The 18,180-nt window shown below is 56.9% G+C and overlaps 1 protein-coding gene and 1 non-coding gene across 5 annotated transcripts, besides 8 other annotated features; both read left to right on the top strand.

The window, feature by feature from the left end:
- Positions 79–188: a silencer, noted in NCBI's record as "silent region_9651". NCBI's record gives its function as "represses an Ori minimal core promoter by ATAC-STARR-seq in GM12878 lymphoblastoid cells {active_cell/tissue: GM12878}" and the evidence as "EXISTENCE:reporter gene assay evidence [ECO:0000049][PMID:35858748]".
- On the top strand, positions 396–502 carry RNU6-2 (RNA, U6 small nuclear 2). Its single transcript, NR_125730.1, has one exon. It is a non-coding gene; the product is annotated as an RNA, U6 small nuclear 2 (small nuclear RNA).
- Positions 4,408–5,139: an enhancer, noted in NCBI's record as "H3K27ac hESC enhancer chr19:1025533-1026264 (GRCh37/hg19 assembly coordinates)". NCBI's record gives its function as "activates a minimal SCP1, AML or CMV promoter by ChIP-STARR-seq in primed H9 embryonic stem cells {active_cell/tissue: H9 hESC(primed)}" and the evidence as "EXISTENCE:reporter gene assay evidence [ECO:0000049][PMID:30033119]".
- Positions 5,130–5,769: a silencer, noted in NCBI's record as "silent region_9652". NCBI's record gives its function as "represses an Ori minimal core promoter by ATAC-STARR-seq in GM12878 lymphoblastoid cells {active_cell/tissue: GM12878}" and the evidence as "EXISTENCE:reporter gene assay evidence [ECO:0000049][PMID:35858748]".
- On the top strand, positions 5,482–17,939 carry CNN2 (calponin 2). Of its 4 annotated transcripts, none has more exons than NM_001303501.2 (7): positions 5,482–5,598; positions 9,945–10,066; positions 11,266–11,332; positions 11,433–11,570; positions 14,941–15,120; positions 15,290–15,436; positions 16,499–17,939. In NM_001303501.2, exons 1-7 carry the CDS (start codon positions 5,536–5,538, stop codon positions 16,772–16,774), a joined length of 993 nt encoding a protein of 330 aa, NP_001290430.1. In that variant the 5' UTR covers positions 5,482–5,535; the 3' UTR covers positions 16,775–17,939. The 4 variants fall into 4 exon arrangements, with proteins under 4 accessions (NP_001290430.1, NP_004359.1, NP_001290428.1 ...); NM_004368.4 differs by having other exon boundaries at positions 15,004–15,120; NM_001303499.2 differs by having other exon boundaries at positions 11,433–11,537; positions 15,004–15,120.
- Positions 7,259–7,434: a silencer, noted in NCBI's record as "fragment chr19:1028384-1028559 (GRCh37/hg19 assembly coordinates)". NCBI's record gives its function as "represses an EF-1alpha promoter that drives an FKBP-Casp9 reporter gene in an ReSE screen in phorbol 12-myristate 13-acetate-treated (for megakaryocytic differentiation) K562 erythroleukemia cells {active_cell/tissue: K562(+PMA)}" and the evidence as "EXISTENCE:reporter gene assay evidence [ECO:0000049][PMID:32094911]".
- Positions 16,987–17,546: an enhancer, noted in NCBI's record as "active region_13579". NCBI's record gives its function as "activates an Ori minimal core promoter by ATAC-STARR-seq in GM12878 lymphoblastoid cells {active_cell/tissue: GM12878}" and the evidence as "EXISTENCE:reporter gene assay evidence [ECO:0000049][PMID:35858748]".
- Positions 16,987–17,635: a biological region, named in NCBI's record as "H3K4me1 hESC enhancer GRCh37_chr19:1038259-1038760".
- Positions 17,134–17,635: an enhancer, noted in NCBI's record as "H3K4me1 hESC enhancer chr19:1038259-1038760 (GRCh37/hg19 assembly coordinates)". NCBI's record gives its function as "activates a minimal SCP1, AML or CMV promoter by ChIP-STARR-seq in naive and primed H9 embryonic stem cells {active_cell/tissue: H9 hESC(naive and primed)}" and the evidence as "EXISTENCE:reporter gene assay evidence [ECO:0000049][PMID:30033119]".
- Positions 17,636–18,135: an enhancer, noted in NCBI's record as "H3K4me1 hESC enhancer chr19:1038761-1039260 (GRCh37/hg19 assembly coordinates)". NCBI's record gives its function as "activates a minimal SCP1, AML or CMV promoter by ChIP-STARR-seq in naive and primed H9 embryonic stem cells {active_cell/tissue: H9 hESC(naive and primed)}" and the evidence as "EXISTENCE:reporter gene assay evidence [ECO:0000049][PMID:30033119]".

The raw sequence follows: 18,180 nt of genomic DNA on the forward strand, positions 1-18,180 counted from the left end.
CGGCTGCGGCGCTGCTGACGCTAGCGAGTCGCCACGCCGGGCAAGAGCGGCCCCCCTGCGCCCGCAGAGAACGCTGGGATGCCAGCGGCGCCCGCGGAGGCCTCACCCCCTACCTCGGCCGCTCCAGGGGGCGGGCCTGCATCTGGGCCACCTCTTTTGCATATTGGCACCCACAATCCACCGCGGCTATGAGGCCAGTATAAGGCGGTAAAATTACGATAAGATATGGGATTTTACGTGATCGAAGACATCAAAGTAAGCGTAAGCACGAAAGTTGTTCTGCAACATACCACTGTAGGAAATTATGCTAAATATGAAACCGACCATAAGTTATCCTAACCAAAAGATGATTTGATTGAAGGGCTTAAAATAGGTGTGACAGTAACCCTTGAGTCGTGCTCGCTTCGGCAGCACATATACTAAAATTGGAACGATACAGAGAAGATTAGCATGGCCCCTGCGCAAGGATGACACGCAAATTCGTGAAGCGTTCCATATTTTTGCTGTAGTCTACAGCTCGTCACCTCGTTTGGCTTCTCTTGCCCGGATCCTGCCATGACGTCACAGGGCCAGTAACGTCATAGTCTTCCCGTGTCCATCTCCTGTGGCGCCACTAAGGTTGGCGGTAGAACAATCTGGCAGTCTCTACTCCTGCGTGGCGCTGTGCCACCTGCCCCCGTAGCTTCGCGCAGCAATGAATAAATAAGTGCTCTTCAGGGGCACTTACTGAGTGCCGGCTGCGTACACAAGAGGATACTATGGTTTTTGGGTTTTTTGGTTGTTTGTTTGAGATGGATTCTCGCTCTGTCGCCCAGGCTGGAGCGCAGAAGCGCGATCTCGGCTCTCTGCAACCCCCGCCTCCCGGGTTCAAGCCATTCTCCTGCCTCAGCCTCCCAAGTAGCTGGGATTACAGGCATGCGCCACCACTCCAGGCTAATTTTATATTTTTAGTAGAGACGGTTTCTCCATGTTGGTCAGGCTGGTCTCGAACTCCTAACTTTAGGTGATTTGCCCGCCTAGGCCTCCCAAAGTGCTGGGATTACAGGTGTGACCCACCAAGCCCGCCAAAAAAAAGTTTTGTGTTGTTTTTTTTTTTTGAGACGCAGTCTCACTCTGTCGCCCAGGCTGGAGTGCAGTGGCGTGATCTCGGCTCACTGCAACCTCCGCCTCTTGGGTTCAAGCAATTCTCTGCCTCAGCCTCCTGAATAGCTGGGATTGCAGGCTTCCGCCACCACACCCGGCTATTTTTTTTGTATTTTTAGTGGAGACCAGGTTTGATCATCTTGGCCAGGTTGGTATTGAACTCCTGACCTCGTGATCCACCCGCGTCAGCCTCCCAAAGTGCTGGAGTTACAGGCATGAGCCACCGCGCCCGGCCCCCCCAAAAAAATGTTTTTAAAAGTTAACTGAGGACGTTGGTGCATGCCTGTAATTCCAGCTACTTGGGAGGCTGAGGTGGGAGGACTGCTTGAGCCCAGGAGTTGGAGGCTGCAGTGAGCCATGATCGTATCCCTGCGCTCCAGGTTGGATGACTAAGTGAGACCCTGTCTCTAAAAAATAAAGTGTAAAAAAGCCAACAGTCAGTATTTTTAGCTTTTTTGGGTAGAGTAACTACTCCACTCTGCTGTTGTACAGAAAACGCAGCCGTAAATGATACATAAATGGATGGGCACAGCTGTGTGCCAATAAAGCTTTGTCTGCAGACACTGGAATTTGAATGTTATGTAATTTCCACGTTTGATAGAATGGTTTTCATATTTTGGGTTTTTTTTTCAACCACTTAAAAATGTAAGAGCCATTCTTAGCTCACAAGCCATACAAAAATAGGCTGCAGCTGGATTTGGCCCACAGGTCAAGAACACAGCTTTCCAAGAGAAAGATAAGCAAATAACAAACATAACTTTAAGTGTTCTGGTAGCCACAGTAAAACAACTAAAAAAGAGCAAGTGAAATTAATTTTAATAATATATTTTACACATCTCAAGTTATCCAAACAAGGTCAGGCGCGGTGGCTCATGCCTGTAATCTCAGCACTTTTGGAGGCTGAGGCGGGAGGATCATTTCAGCCCAGGTGTTCAAGACCAGCCTGGGCAATATAATGAGATCCTGTCTCTACGAAAAATACCAAAAATTAGCTGGGCACGGTGGTGTGTGCCTGTGGTCCCAGCTACTTGGGAGGCTGAGGCAAGAGGATTGCTTAAGCCAAGGAGTTGGAGGCTGCAGTGAGCTGTGATGGCACCATTGCACTCCAGCCTGGGCAACAGAGCAAGACCCCACCTCATAAACGAAAAAAAAGTGGCCGGGCGCGGTGGCTGACACCTGTAATCCCAGCACTTGGGAGGCCGAGGCGGGCGGATCACGAGGTCAGGAGATCGAGACCACCCTGGCAAACACGGTGAAACCCTGTCTCTACTAAAAATACAAAAATATTAGCTGGGTGTGGTGGCGGGCGCCTGTAGTCCCAGCTGCTCGGGAGGCTGAGGCAGAAGAATGGCCTGAACCCGGGAGGCGGAGCTTGCAGTGAGCCGAGATCACGCCACTGCACCCCAGCCTGGGTGACAGAGCGAGACTACTTCTCAAAAAAAAAAAAAAAAAAAAAGTAACTGAGATGTACCAAGTCTTCAGAATCTGGTGTGTTTCCCATCCATGGGGTGTTCCAATATGGATACCAGTGCTTCCTCAGAAATACTTATCTCCACAGTATTTAGATTTACAGCGTTTATACTGAAAAGGAAAATTCAGAAACGCTAAGGTATTTAAAATATACACGAGGCTGAGCACGGTGGCTCACGCCTGCAATCCCAGCACTTTGGGAGGCTGAGGCGGGAGGATCACTTGAATCCAGACTGGGCAACATAGGGAGACCCCATCTCTACAAAAAATTTAAAAATTAGCTAGGCATATGGCACATGCCTGTAGTCCCAGATACTCAGGAGGCTGAGGCAGGAGATTACTTGAGTCCAGGAGGTCGAGGCTGCAGTGAACTATATTTGCACCACTGCACTCCAGCCTGGGTGACAGAGCAAGACCCTGTTTCAAATATCTATATATTTACATTTATATGTATAATGTGTACATATGTGTGTATTTATGTATTTGAAAACTTTAATGTGTGTGTACATATATATATAGTCAAAAACGGAAATCATGTCAGTTTTTAATTTTTAACTGAAATTAATTGAAATAGCCCGGCCACGGCAGCTGACACCTATAATCCCAGCACTTCGGAAGGCTGAGGCCGGCGGATCACTTGAGGTCAGGAGTTCAAGACCAGCCTGGCCAACATGGTGAAACCCGCATCTCTACTAAAAATGCAAAAATTAGCCAGGCGTGGTGGTGCGTGTCTACGGTCCCAGCTACTCGGAGTCCCAGCTACATATATATGTGTATTTATATATATGTGTCTTCAAAAAATGGAATCTAGTGCCAGTTTTTAATTTTTAATTGAAATTTAAGAATAGGAAGTATTTGCTGGGTGCGGTGGCTCACACCTGTAATCCCAGCACTTTGGGAGGCTGAGGCGGGCAGATCACGAGGTCAGGAGATCGAGACCATCCTGGATAACACAGTGAAACCCCGTCTCTACTAAAAATACAAAAATTAGCTGGGTGTGGAGGTGTGCCTGTAGTCCCAGCTGCTGGGGAGGCTGAGGCAGGAGAATGGCGTGAACCCAGGAGGTGGAGCTTGCAGTGAGCCAAGATTGCGCCACTGCACTCCAGCCTGGGTGACAGAGCGAGACTCCGTCTCAAAAAATAATAATAAAATAAAATAAAAAGAACATGAAGTATTTGCTTCCCTGATGGCACCAGCCACACTTCCAGTGCTCAGTAGCCCCATGGCCAGTGGCTACAGTAGTAGATAGTGCCACATTGAAAATTTCCTTCATCTCAGAATAACAGAAATGGTCAGCACTGGTCTAAAATGACATGGGTCGGCCAGGTGCAGTGGTTCAAGCCTGTAATCACAGTACTTTGGGAGGCTGAGGCGGGTGGATCACCTGAGGTCAGGGGTTCGAGACCAGCCTGGCCAACATGGTGAAACCCCATCTCTACTAAAAATAAAATAAAATAAAATAAAATAAAATAAAATAAAATAAAATAAAATAAAATGTGTCAAACTCCTATTGATGCTTCAAAACCCCATCTCCCTTGCCTCCTCTTACATGCAGCTTTCCTTGATTCCTCCGACAGAGCCCCAACTCTCCCTCCAGTTCCTCCAGCCCCAAGCCTCTCATTCTGTCCTGTACTTGCTCATATAGGGAAACAGGGTGGGCGGGGTGGGGGGGTTCCGCCTGTGCTGGCTCATACAGGGAATCCGGGTTGGGGGTTGGTCTGTGCCAGCTCTGTCTTCCTGGGCATGGGCTGGGCCAGAGCTAAGGTCTCCTGAGAGCCAGCACTGCCTGGCAGGAGACTGTCCCGGAGACTTTTTAATAATTTATTATTATTAGGGTTTTTTTGTGTTTTTTTTTTTTGTTTTTTTTTTTAAGACGGAGTCTTGCTCTGTCGCCCAGGCTGGAGTGCAGTGGCGCGATCTCGACTTACTACAACCTCCGCCTCCTGGCTTCAAGTGATCCTCCCACCTCAGCCTCCTCAGTAGCTGGAATTACAGGCATGTGCCCCCATGCCCGGCTAATTTTTGTATTTTTAGTAGAGACGGAGTTTCGCCATGTTAGCCAAGCTGGTCTGGAACTCCTGACCTCAAGTGATCCGCCCGCCTCGGCCTTCCAAAGTGCTGGGATTGCAGGCGTGAGCCACTCGGATTTTTATTTTTATTTATTTATTTATTTTTAGAGAGAGGCTCTTGCTCTGCTGCCCAGGCTGGAGCGTCATGTTGTGATGATAACTCACTGCAGCTTCGACCTCTTGGGCTCAACGGATCCTCCCCCTTCGGCCTCAGCCTCCCAAGTAGCTAGAACTCCAGGTGCAAGCTACCGCACCCAGTAAGAATCCTATTCTCTTTTGGACTGACAAACTCCTACTCATCCAACAAAGCCCCAGCTCCAATGGCCCCTTCTCTGAGGAACCTGCCCTGGTTCCCTGGTCCACCTCCCAGCTAGTAGAGTTCCCTGGGAAGGGGTTAGACGCCTCTAAGTGGCAGAGAGGGGCCCTCATTCCTGCCCCAAAGGTAGCCTTCTCCCCTCCCCTTTCTGGCAGAAGAGAAGTCTGAGATGGAGAAAGAGTGAGAGCCGCCCACGAGCTCTGAGCAGAGAGCCCGCAGGAGTGCCACGTCCCGGCGGCCTCGGCCCCTCCCTGCCTCAGTTTCCCGTGGCATCAAAGGGGGCGAGGGGCCCCTCCAGGCCTCTGGTGACGGGGGTGCTGTGCCCAGGCGGGGGTCCGGGGGCGACCGAGGGGGCTCAGGAAGTCCGCGGCCGCAGGAATTCGGCGCCTCCAGGCCTTATAAGGACATTTGCGCTCCGGGCCAATCAGCGGCGGGGGCGTGGCGCGCGGAGCCCGGCGCGTCCCAACCCCGCGCCAGCCCGGCGGTCCCGTCCCGTCCCGTCCTGTGCGGCCCCGTCCCGCCGCCCGCCCGCCAGCCATGAGCTCCACGCAGTTCAACAAGGGCCCCTCGTACGGGCTGTCGGCCGAGGTCAAGAACCGGGTGAGTGAGGGGCGCCCCTTGTCCCCCCGACAGCGCGGCCGTCGCACGCTCCGACCGGTGCAGGAGCCCCCAGGCGCCCCCGGCACCTCCCGGGCAGGGAGCTTGGAGACCCGGGGCGGACGGGCCCTTGTTCTCCCTGACGCCTGGTGGGGGGATGTCTGCGGGCACCCCCTGAGGCTCCCGCGAATCTTGGGGAGCACCCAGGTCTGAGATCTGGGGGACGAGTGACCCATTCCCCCCCCCAACATCTAGGGGTAGTTGGGTCTGACTTCGTCCCCTCGCCATGGCCCCAGGACCCCCACGTGTGAAGCCCCTGGCGCCCACTCAACCTTCGAGAAGGTCCGTTCAAGGTCCGACAACGCTCTGGGGGTCTGGGGGGGACCCCAGCAACCCCGTCATCTCCTGGCCACACTTCTGCTTTTGGGGCCTCTTAGCTTTGGGAGGGGAAGGGGCATGGCCGAGTGGTTTTTGAGAAGTGTTACCCCCCCACAAACAGGAATTTCCTGGCCTCTGGGACACCTTGGGGGTGTCTTGGGGGGAGGGGCGGTAGCCGCTTTGCACGGTCTTTGTCTCCCATCTGACTAATTTAAACGGATAACAAAGAGGTTCTCTGAAGGTGGCCCTGAGATATGTGGGGTTTTGCAGCCTCGAAAGAAGAGCTGGGGCCCGGCAGGGCGCGGGGGCTCACGCCCGTAATCCCAGCACTTTGGGGGGCGGAGCTGGGTGGATGGCTTGAGCCCAGCGAGTTCGAGACCAGTCTGGGCAACATGGCGAAACCCCATCTCTATAATTAAAAACAAGCCAGGGCTAGGGGAGACACTTTTTAAGAGAGCACTTGTGGTTCTAGCTCAGAGAGGACCAGACACTTCTGCAGGGTCACACAGCAGGGTCCTGGACAGGATTCCCAGGGAAAGTGGGGGGCGGGGGTTGTGATGCGAGACCCACGGACAGGACCGGGACCTGACCCTCCAGGACCTTCCAGCTGGAGGGGGGTGTCGTCCCCGCCCACCCCCTCCCCCGACGCCCACTGGGCACCTGGGAAGGTGTCCTTACAGCTGACTTCTGCAGGGGAAACTGCCTCTGCACGCTCTGAGGGCACCGGCCCTGCCAGCCCCAACAGCCACCTGCCCGGCGGCACTCCAGGGCCGGCAGACTGGAGGGAGAATTCCTGCTTCCCCGCTGTGAGCCCCTGCAAGCCTTCAGACCAGCTCTTGGCCAAAAAGGGAGGCTGAGGCTTGGGGTGGTCAAGGCCTGAGCCAGGGTCCCCAGCCCGGGGCTCACGACTCCTCCTTCAAGGGGCCATCTGCACCCTGCATTCATAGAGCCCCCCGTGCAGTGGGGTGGGCACCCTGCCGCACCCTGCATACAGCCGGCTAAGGGCACCGGTGTCCACAGGGACCCAGAGACGTCGTTCCAGCTGCCCAGGGCCACACAGCCCACAAGTGACAGGGCCAAGACCGGAACCCAGTACCTGCTGGGCCTGCGGAAGTGGGAGCGGGCACAGGAGGGTGGGGCGGCTTCCGGAGACGGGGTGGGGTGGGGTGGGGGCAGGTTGATACCTGCCCTGGCGGGGGTGAGGACAGAGGCTGGAAGAGCCGCTTAGCAGGCTCCCCGCGCAACCCTCAGTCTGTCCGTTTGGAGGGTGGGCGAGGCGTCGGCCAGCTTGCCAGGGTCACGGAAGGGTCGCCTCCCAATTAGAAACCAGCTTCCCCCTGGCTTCCCGCTCACACCCGCTTTACCGGCTGCTTGAAACAGCCAGAGACCCGCCCCCCGCCCCGCTTCCCCGTGGCTCAGTTGACTCCCGGCTGGACGGCACGGAGGCAGCTCGGATCCACAGTGTCTGCGGCCTTGCATCCCGGCTTGGGGGTCCGGACCCGCTGGGAACAGCTGGTTCAGATTTAGCCGGGGAGGCAGCGCGCATTCCTGGCAGTTTGTGGTGAACAGGAATGTGCTGGAAGGCCGGCGGCCGGGCAGCGGGGGGGCGGGGGTGGGGGAGGACGGCAGCGGCTGGGGGTGGGGCCAGGGGACCTGGGCCCCTGAGCCGGCAGAGACGCGGCGCAGCTGGGCAAGGCAGGGCTGTGTACCCAGCAGCCACCGTTCTCATTCCTCGGGATCAAAGTTGCCGGCGGGGCGGGGCTGCCCCCGGGCGTGGAAAGCCAAGCTGGGTGGGCTGTGAGCTGGTACTGGGGGGCCTCCCCGCCTTTGCCTCCTCTGGGCTACGAGCTGTTTCCAGGCAGGTGCCAGGTCAGGGGACCCTAACCCAAATAATCCCAGGCAGGTCCAGGTCAGGGGACCCTATCCCAAATAATCCCAGGCAGGTCCAGCTCAGGGGACCCTAACCCAAATCATCCCAGGCAGGTCCAGCTCAGGGGACCCTAACCCAAATCATCCCAGGCAGGTCCAGCTCAGGGGACCCTAACCCAAATCATCCCAGGCAGGTCCAGCTCAGGGGACCCTACCCAAATCATTCCAGGCAGATCTAGCTCAGGGGACCCTAACCCAAATCATCCCAGGCAGGTCCAGCTCAGGGGACCCTAACCCAAATCATCCCAGGCAGGTCCAGCTCAGGGGACCCTAACCCAAATCATCCCAGGCAGGTCCAGGTCAGGGGACCCTACCCAAATCATCCCAGGCAGGTCTAGCTCAGGGGACCCTAACCCAAATCATCCCAGGCAGGTCCAGCTCAGGGGACCCTAACCCAAATCATCCCAGGCAGGTCCAGCTCAGGGGACCCTAACCCAAATCATCCTAGGCAGGTCCAGCTCAGGGGACCCTAACCCAAATCATCCCAGGCAGGTCCAGCTCAGGGGACCCTAACCCAAATCATCCCAGGCAGGTCCAGGTCAGGGGACCCTAACCCAAATAATCCCAGGAAGAGATGAGGAAGCGGAGGCTGAGTGGGGAGCTGTCCGCGGGAACCTGGGGAGATGGGTGCAGAGCAGGGAGAGGGATTTGATTTTTTTTTTCCTTCTCTCTTTTCTTTCTTTTTTTTTTTAAGACAGAGGCTCACTCTGTTCCAGGCTGGAGTGAAGTGGCCCGATCTTGGCTCACTGCCTCCTCTGCCTCCTGGGTTCAAGCGATTCTCCTGCCTCAGCCTCCCAAGTAGCTGGGACTACAGGTGCCCACCACCACGCCCAGCTCATTTTTGTATTTTAGTACAGACGGGATTTCACCATGTGGGCTAGGCCAGTCTCGAACTCCTGACCTCAGATGATCCGCCCGCCTTGGCCTCCCAAAGTGCTGGGATTGTAGGTGTGAGCCACCGCACCCAGCCCAAACCCTACTTTATTCTCCCTCCAGCGTTTATCTCCCGCTCCCGCTACACGACCTGCCCCCATGCTTATGGCCCCCTATACACTTTGCCGTCTGCCTCAGTGCTGTCTCCGCGGTCACTAGTGGCTGGATAGGGACACTCGAGGTCCCCACTGGTGCACACCCACTGCCCAGGAGCACACAGCCCATTCCCCACGGCGGTGTCTCAGAGCACCGAAGGCCAAGAAAGCTGGAATGGCCGGGTGCAGAAAGGTGGCAGGGAATCGGTGGCAAGGAGCCAGGTGCGTGACTAGAGGCGGTCAGCCTCGGGGGCAGCTCCTTCGGGAGTTGCTAAGAAGCAGGATGGGGGCCGGGCGCGGTGGCTCACACCTGTAATCCCAGCACTTTGGAGGGCTGAGACGGGCAGATCACGAGGTCAGGAGATGGAGACCATCTTGGCTAACACGGTGAAACCCCGTCTCTATTAAAAATACAAAAAATGAGCTGGGCCTGGTGGCGGGCGCCTGCAGTCCCAGCTACTCGGGAGGCTGAGGCAGGAGAATGGCCTGAACCGGGGAGGCGGAGCTTGCAGTGAGCCGAGATCGCACCACTGCACTCCAGCCTGGGCGACAGAGTGAGACTCTGTCTCAAAAAAAATAAAAAAGAAAAAAGAGCTGATGGTTGCACAACATTGCAGACGTACGAAATGCTGTGAAATGGTGCGGTTTCAGGTGGTTGAAGTGGTAAACGTCAGGTGTGATATAGCGGGGAGGTGAGAAGGCAGGGCGGGGAGGCAGATCCGGCCAGGTTTGTCCTGCACCGGGAGTGGATTAGAGCTGATGTTTATCAGTGAGTTCTAAGCCGGTTGTCGGCCTGCTTGGAGGGCGGTTTATCTGTGCCCGCCTGCAGTGGCTGGGGCGCCCCCAATGATGGGAAAAGGGAGCATCTGCGTGGGTGTGGTGAGGGGGGACCTCCAGGCCGCTCTATCTGCTGTTGCCCTGGAGTCCCCGGCCCCACCCTCTGCAGAGCTTCTGTGGGGTTCCTGCTGGGGGTGCCCCCAGCCCAGCTCAGTCTCGTGCCCTTTGCTCCACCAGCTCCTGTCCAAATATGACCCCCAGAAGGAGGCAGAGCTCCGCACCTGGATCGAGGGACTCACCGGCCTCTCCATCGGCCCCGACTTCCAGAAGGGCCTGAAGGATGGAACTATCTTATGCACGTGAGTACACGCAGGGACACAGGCTGTCTCACACTTAACAAATCTTGGTTTTTCTCACTTTTTTTCTTAATTAAGAAATTTTTGGGGGGCCGGGCATGGCCTGGCTCATGCCTGTAATCCCAGCACTTTTGGAGGCCGAGGGTGGTGGCGGGGGGCGGTGGATCTCGAGGTCAGGAGTTCGAGACCAGCCTGGCCAACATGGTGAAACCCCGTCTGTACTAATAATACAAAAAAATTAGCCAGGCACCTGTAATCCCAGCTACTCAGGAGGCTGAGGAAGGAGAATTGCTTGAACCCGGGAGGCGGAGGTTGCAGTGAGCCGAGATCACACCATTGCACTCCAGCCGGGGTGACACAGCGAGACTCCATCTCAAAAAAAAAAAAAAAAAAAAAAAAAAGTTAGCTGGGCGTGGTGGCTAAATAAATAATTTTTTTTTTTTGAGGTGGAGTCTCACTCTGTTGCCCAAGCTGGAGTGCAGTGGCATGATCTCGGCTCACTGCAACCTCCACCTCCTGGGTTCAAGTGATTCCCCTGCCTCAGCCTCCCGAGTAGCTGGGATTACAGGCGACTGCCACCATGCCCGGCTAATTTTTTTTGTATATTTAGTAGAGATGGGGTTGCTCCATGTTGGCCAGGCTGGTCTTGAGCCCTTGACGTCACGTGATCTGCCTGCCTCGGCCTTCCAAAGTGCTGGGCTTACAGGCCTGAGCCACCAAACCCAGCCAAAGATTACTTTATAAGAGTGGAAACTTGAGGCCTGGGATGGTGGCTCACGCTTGTAATCCCAGCACTTTGGGAGGTTGAGGTGGACGGATCACGAGGTCAGGAGATCGAGACCAGCCTGGACAACATGGTGAAACTCCATCTCTACTAAAAATGCAAAAATTAGCCGGGTGTGGTGGCAGGCACCTGTAATCCCAGCTACTCGGGAGGCTCAGGGCTGAGGCAGGAGAATCACTTGAACCCGGGAGGTGGAGGTGGCAGTGAGTCTAGATAGTGCCATTGCACTCTAGTCTGGGTGACAGAGCTAGACGCCGTCTCAAAAAAAAAAAAAAAAAGAGTGGAAACTGAGGCCCAGAGAGAGGCCGTGAGTTTGCCCAGGAAGGCGTGAGCTTGGCTGAGATCAGCATCGGGTCTTCACGGTTCCTCGCTGCTCACAGAGGTTTCTGTTTCCCCCGCCCCATGTTGTGCCCTCCAGACTCATGAACAAGCTACAGCCGGGCTCCGTCCCCAAGATCAACCGCTCCATGCAGAACTGGCACCAGGTGAGGGGCTGGTGGAGCGGAGCAGGGATGGTGCTGGGGGCCCATCTAACAGGTGGGGAGACTGAGGCCCACTCACTGTCCCTCTCCTGCCTCTTCCCAGCTAGAAAACCTGTCCAACTTCATCAAGGCCATGGTCAGCTACGGCATGAACCCTGTGGACCTGTTCGAGGCCAACGACCTGTTTGAGAGTGGGAACATGACGCAGGTGCAGGTGTCTCTTCTCGCCCTGGCGGGGAAGGTGAGGCCCAGAGAGGGGCAGCCACCTGCCCAGAGTCACACAGCGAGGTGGATGTAGCTGCTGCATTCACTCGTTTGCAAATTTCTGTTTGTTTATTTTTGAGTCGGAGTCTCACTCTGTCACTCAGGCTGGAGTGCAATGGCGTGATCTCAGCTCACTGCAACCTCCAACTCCCAGGTTCAAGCGATTCTTCTGCCTCAGTCTCCCGAGTAGCTGGGATTACAGGCACCTGCCACCACGCCTGGCTAATTTTTGTATTTTTAGTGGAGACTGGGTTTCACCATGCTGGCCAGGCTGGTCTTGAACTCTTGACTTCAGGTGATCCGCCCGCCTCGGCCTCCCCAAGTGCTGGGATTACAGGCATGAGCCCCTGTGCCCGGCCTCGTTTACAAATATTTCTGAGCATCCGTGAGGTGCCAGGTACTTCAGATTCCTTGGTGAACAGGAAGGACATGGTCTACCCCTTATGCAGTTCAGTCTGATGGCGGAGGCATGCAAAAGTGAACACAGCATTGTATTATGCATTATATGTAAGCTCTGGCCGGGCGCAGTGGCTCACACCTGTAATCCCAGCACTTTGGGAGGCCGAGGTTGGAGAATTGCTTGACACCAGGAGTTCGAGACCAGCCTGGCCAACATGGTGAAACCCCATCTCTACTAAGAAAACAAAAATTACCTGGGCGTGGTGGTGCATGCCTGTAATCCCAGCTACTCGGGAGGCTGAGCCCAGGAGTTAAGAGGTTGCAGTGAGCTATGACCACACCACTGCTCTCCAGCCTGGGCAACAGAGCAAGACTCTCTCAAAAAATAATCATAACAAAAGTAATAAATAAGCTCTGAACTGGGAGAAATGCCTTGAAGGAGAAGAATCAGACGAATGTTGAGTGTCTAGTGATCTTCAAACCCAGACCGGGAGCGTGGGTGGGACAGTGGTGTAGACCGGGAGCGTGGGTGGGACAGTGTCTGGTGTAGACCGGGAGCGTGGGTGGGACACGGTGTCTGGTGTAGACCGGGAGCGTGGGTGGGACACGGTGTCTGGTGTAGACGGGGAGCGTGGGTGGGACGGTGTCTGGTGTAGACCGGGAGCGTGGGTGGGACACGGTGTCTGGTGTAGACGGGGAGCGTGGGTGGGACGGTGTCTGGTGTAGACCGGCAGCGTGGGTGGGACACGGTGTCTGGTGTAGACCGGGAGCGTGGGTGGGACGGTGTCTGGTGTAGACCGGGAGCGTGGGTGGGACACGGTGTCTGGTGTAGACGGGGAGCGTGGGTGGGACGGTGTCTGGTGTAGACCGGCAGCGTGGGTGGGACACGGTGTCTGGTGTAGACGGGGAGCGTGGGTGGGACGGTGTCTGGTGTAGACCGGGAGCGTGGGTGGGACACGGTGTCTGGTGTAGACCGGGAGCGTGGGTGGGACGGTGTCTGGTGTAGACCGGGAGCGTGGGTGGGACACATTGTCTGGTGTAGACCGGGAGCGTGGGTGGGACGGTGTCTGGTGTAGACCGGGAGCGTGGGTGGGACACGGTGTCTGGTGTAGACGGTAAGCGTGGGTGGGACACGGTGTCTGGTGTAGACCGGGAGCGTGGGTGGGACGGTGTCTGGTGTAGACCGGGAGCGTGGGTGGGACACGGTGTCTGGTGTAGACCGGGAGCGTGGGTGGGACACGGTGTCTGGTGTAGACCGGGAGCGTGGGTGGGACGGTGTCTGGTGTAGACCGGGAGCGTGGGTGGGACACGGTGTCTGGTGTAGACGGGGAGCGTGGGTGGGACGGTGTCTGGTGTAGACCGGCAGCGTGGGTGGGACACGGTGTCTGGTGTAGACCGGGAGCGTGGGTGGGACGGTGTCTGGTGTAGACCGGCAGCGTGGGTGGGACACGGTGTCTGGTGTAGACGGGGAGCGTGGGTGGGACGGTGTCTGGTGTAGACCGGCAGCGTGGGTGGGACACGGTGTCTGGTGTAGACGGGGAGCGTGGGTGGGACGGTGTCTGGTGTAGACCGGGAGCGTGGGTGGGACACGGTGTCTGGTGTAGACCGGGAGCGTGGGTGGGACGGTGTCTGGTGTAGACCGGGAGCGTGGGTGGGACACATTGTCTGGTGTAGACCGGGAGCGTGGGTGGGACGGTGTCTGGTGTAGACCGGGAGCATGGGTGGGACACGGTGTCTGGTGTAGACGGTAAGCGTGGGTGGGACACGGTGTCTGGTGTAGACCGGGAGCGTGGGTGGGACGGTGTCTGGTGTAGACCGGGAGCGTGGGTGGGACACGGTGTCTGGTGTAGACCGGGAGCGTGGGTGGGACGGTGTCTGGTGTAGACCGGGAGCGTGGGTGGGACACGGTGTCTGGTGTAGACCGGGAGCGTGGGTGGGACGGTGTCTGGTGTATACCGGGAGCGTGGGTGGGACACGGTGTCTGGTGTAGACGGGGAGCGTGGGTGGGACACGGTGTCTGGTGTAGACGGGGAGCGTGGGTGGGACGGTGTCTGGTGTAGACGGGGAGCGTGGGTGGGACACGGTGTCTGGTGTAGACCGGGAGCGTGGGTGGGACACGGTGTCTGGTGTAGAATGGAATGGGAGTGTGTGTTTGTGACATGGTGTCTCACGTAGAAGGAACAGCAAGGTCTTGACATTGGAATTGGCTGGGCTGTTAGAGGAAGCGGGAGCTGGTTTTCTCCTGGGGTAACTGCTCCAAATGGTGTTTTCAGATGCCCCCTGTGGCTCCCAGTAACCTCACGTGGGGAATGGTGGTCAGGGAGGAGCCGGGCGCAGACATCCCAGTGAGGGGCAGAGCCAATGGCCTGGCCATGGTGCCCGGGGATTGGGTCAGAGGAGGTGGTGGAAGGTGAGAGAGAGGAAGCGAAAACCACGTCCCCATCCCCAGAATTCTTGGCCTGAGCCCTGGAAAGCTGAGCTGTTGCCTAAGACAAGGCACGCTGGGATGAAGCAGCCCCATGGGCTGGGCGCGGTGGCTCACGCCTGTAATCCCAGCACTTTTGGAGGTTGAGGCGGGTGGATAACTTGAGGCCAGGAGTTCAAGACCAGCCTGGCAACATGGTGAAACCCCGTCTCTACTAAAAATACAAAAATTAGCCTGGCGTGGTGGCACACGCCTGTAATCCTAGCTACTTGGGAGGCTGAGGCAGGAGAATTGCTTGAACCTGGGAGGAGGGGGTTGCAGTGAGCGGAGATCACACCACTGCACTCCAGCCTGGGTGACAGAGCCAGACTCCATCTCAAAAATAAAAATAAAAAACTGAAACAGCTGTATGATGGGTGTGTGGAGTGTGTGGAGTCCCAGACACCCGAGAGATGTGCCTGTGGGGGCTCTGCGCGGCAGGCAGAGGTGACAGGCCGCGGCCTGGTCTCTGTCCCGCCCCCAGGGCCTAGATCTAGGGTCCCTGGCTGCCCTCTGCTGGTACTCCCGGCCCCTTTCCCTCACCCAGGCCAAGACTAAGGGGCTGCAGAGCGGGGTGGACATTGGCGTCAAGTACTCGGAGAAGCAGGAGCGGAATTTCGACGATGCCACCATGAAGGCTGGCCAGTGCGTCATCGGGCTGCAGGTGGGCGACAGCTCCCCCAGCCCCAGGGACCACGGCATTGGGGGACCACGGTGTTGGGGGACAGCAGCATTGGGGGACAGCGGCATGGAGCCCTGTGGTCCCTCAATTTCAGGGAGGGACCGGAAGCTTGTTGGGTGCAGTCTGACCTCTCCCACGAACCTCCCTGCAGATGGGCACCAACAAATGCGCCAGCCAGTCGGGCATGACTGCCTACGGCACGAGAAGGCATCTCTATGACCCCAAGAACCATATCCTGCCCCCCATGGACCACTCGACCATCAGCCTCCAGATGGGCACGAACAAGTGTGCCAGCCAGGTGGGGCTCGCCCGGGTGCCCCCGACTCCTCTCCCTGCCCCTCTACACCCTGTGGTCTCGGCCCCTCCCTGGGGCCACCTCCAGCTTCTCTCCCCACTCTCAGTCTCAGCCCCTTCCCTAGACCACCTCCGGCTTCCCTCCCCGCTCTCTGTCTCCGCCTTGGATTTCAGCCTCTGTCATTTCCACCTGGCTGTGGGTCTCTAGGGAAGTTACTACCTCACCCTGTGTCATTTTCCCTTAAGGACTGCCCAAAGGTCCACCCAATTCTTTTTTTTTAATCTTTATTTATTTTATTTATGTATTTATTTTGAGATAGGATCTCACTCTGTTGTCCAGGCTGGAGTGCAGTGGCACGATCTCGGCTCACTGCAACCTCTGCCTCCCGGGTTCAAGAGATTCTCCTTCCTGCCTCAGCCTCCCGAGTAGCTGGGACTACAGGTGCATGCTGCCACACCCGGCCAATTTTTGTATTTTTAGTAGACATGGGGTTTCACCATGTTGCCCAGGCTGGTCTCGAACTCCTGAGCTCAGGCAATCCACCCGCCTTGACCTCCCAAACTGCTAGGGTTACAGGTGTGAGCCACCGCACCCGGCCACACCCAGCTAATTTTTGTATTTTTAGTAGAGACGGGGTTTCACTGTGTTGGTCAGGCTAGTCTTGAACTCCTGACCTCAGGTGATCCTCCCACCTCAGCCTCCCGAGTAGCTGAGACTACAGGCGCCCGCCACCACGCCCGGCTAATTTTTGTATTTTTAGTAGATATGGGGTTTCACCGTGTTGGCCAGGCTGGTCTTGAACTTCTGACCTCAGGTGATCCTCCCACCTCAGCCTCCCGAGTAGCTGGGATTACAGGCATGTGCCACCACGCCCAGCTAATTTTGTATTTTTGGGAGAGACAGGGTTTCACCGTGTTGGCCAGGCTGGACTGGAACTCCTGACCTCAGGTGATCCTCCCACCTTGGCCTCCCAAAGTGCTGGGATTACAGGCGTGAGCCAGTGCACCCAGTGAAGGTCCCCTCTTCTCTCCACCATGACCTGCTCCACCCCTCCTTCCTCTCCAGGTGGGCATGACGGCTCCCGGGACCCGGCGGCACATCTATGATACCAAGCTGGGAACCGACAAGTGTGACAACTCCTCCATGTCCCTGCAGATGGGCTACACGCAGGGCGCCAACCAGAGCGGCCAGGTCTTCGGCCTGGGCCGGCAGATATATGACCCCAAGTACTGCCCGCAAGGCACAGTGGCCGATGGGGCTCCCTCGGGCACCGGCGACTGCCCGGACCCGGGGGAGGTCCCTGAATATCCCCCTTACTACCAGGAGGAGGCCGGCTACTGAGGCTCCCAGCACGCTCTCTCCCCACATCGTCTGCCCATCTGGGTTTTTGGGTTTTTCTGTGTTTTCATCTTTTTTTTTTTTTTCTTAACCCGTTCAGTGCTGCCAGTCAACCAAGGGTCTGTGAGTGTCAGCGTGGGATCAGGCAGCAGAGCTTTTTTCCCCTTTGCCTTGATCCTTCGCAAGGCTGAGCCACTGGGCTGTGGGGGAAGGGGTCAAGGCCATATCCCAATACGTGTAGGGCGAGGGTCCCTGCTGGCACATTCAGGCTGTGCTGGGAAGAAGAGACCTGGGCTTGGAAGGAACCGGTCCCCGACGGTTTCTGCTTGCCTCGCCTCTTCCCCCTTTTGTCAGCTGAGCAGTTTGTGGTTTCTATGCCCGCAAGTTTCAGGAAGTATTCACAAAAGAAAAATACATTTTTTCCCCCAGGGGTGGGGCAAGGACAGTGGAGAGAGTGCTAGGAAATGAGTCCCCTGGGAAAGGGGACCGGGCCGTGATGTTAAATATCTCCGGCTCCCAAGTGACTGGATTTGCCTAGGACCTTCAGACCAACAGACTTCAGACCCTCAGACCTGCCCCGGGGCCAGGTGGAGAAAGTGAGGGCCGTACAAGGAAGTGAAATTCTGAGTTGTTGGGGCTAAGCCTGACCCCCTCTCCATGCTCCCCGCCCCAACCCACTCTGGCCTCAGTAGATTTTTTTTTCAGTTGTGGTTGTTGCCCAGGCTGGAGTGCAGTGGCGCCATCTTGGCTCACTGCACCTCCACCTTCCGGGCTCAAGCGATTCTCCAGCCTCAGCCTCCTGAGTAGCTAGGACTGCAGGTGCTCCACCACGCCCGGCTAATTTTTGTATTTTTAGTAGAGATGGGGTTTCCCCATGTTGGCCAGGCTGGTCTCGAACTCCTGGCCTCAGGTGTGATCCGCCCGCCTCCGCCTCCCCAAGCGCTGAGATTACAGGTGTGAGCCACCGTGCCCAGCCCCTCAGTAGGTTTTAAGGAGCCCCCAGCCCTCCTCCCTTCTGGGCCCGACCAGCTTATACTGCTCCATCTTCCCCGGCCACATGCCCCGCCAAGTACTGCACAGGGACCCCCCACCCAGGGGACCTGCTCCGTGAGATAATGTGAAATACGACTGTGGACCAAACGCAATAAAACCTCTGTTTGTACGAAGAGAAGGTGGCCAAGAGAGTTGGCGTCGATGAGGGCGTGCTTTGCTTTGATGCTTTTGTGGGGAGAGAGGAGGTCTTGGGGGATGGGGGGATCAAGGGGAAAATGTCCACCTCACCATTGGGAGGAGGAGCAAAAGCTGAAGCCACAGGTGAGTCTGGGTGGAATGAATGATTTGAAGGGCCGGGACTTGGGGTAGAGGGAGAGGCTGGGCTTCCTGGCCATTTGGAGAAGAGGCAGTTCCCT

Source organism: Homo sapiens, chromosome 19 (assembly GCF_000001405.40).
Source record: "Homo sapiens chromosome 19, GRCh38.p14 Primary Assembly".
In the NCBI taxonomy this organism is placed as follows: Eukaryota; Metazoa; Chordata; class Mammalia; order Primates; family Hominidae; genus Homo; species Homo sapiens.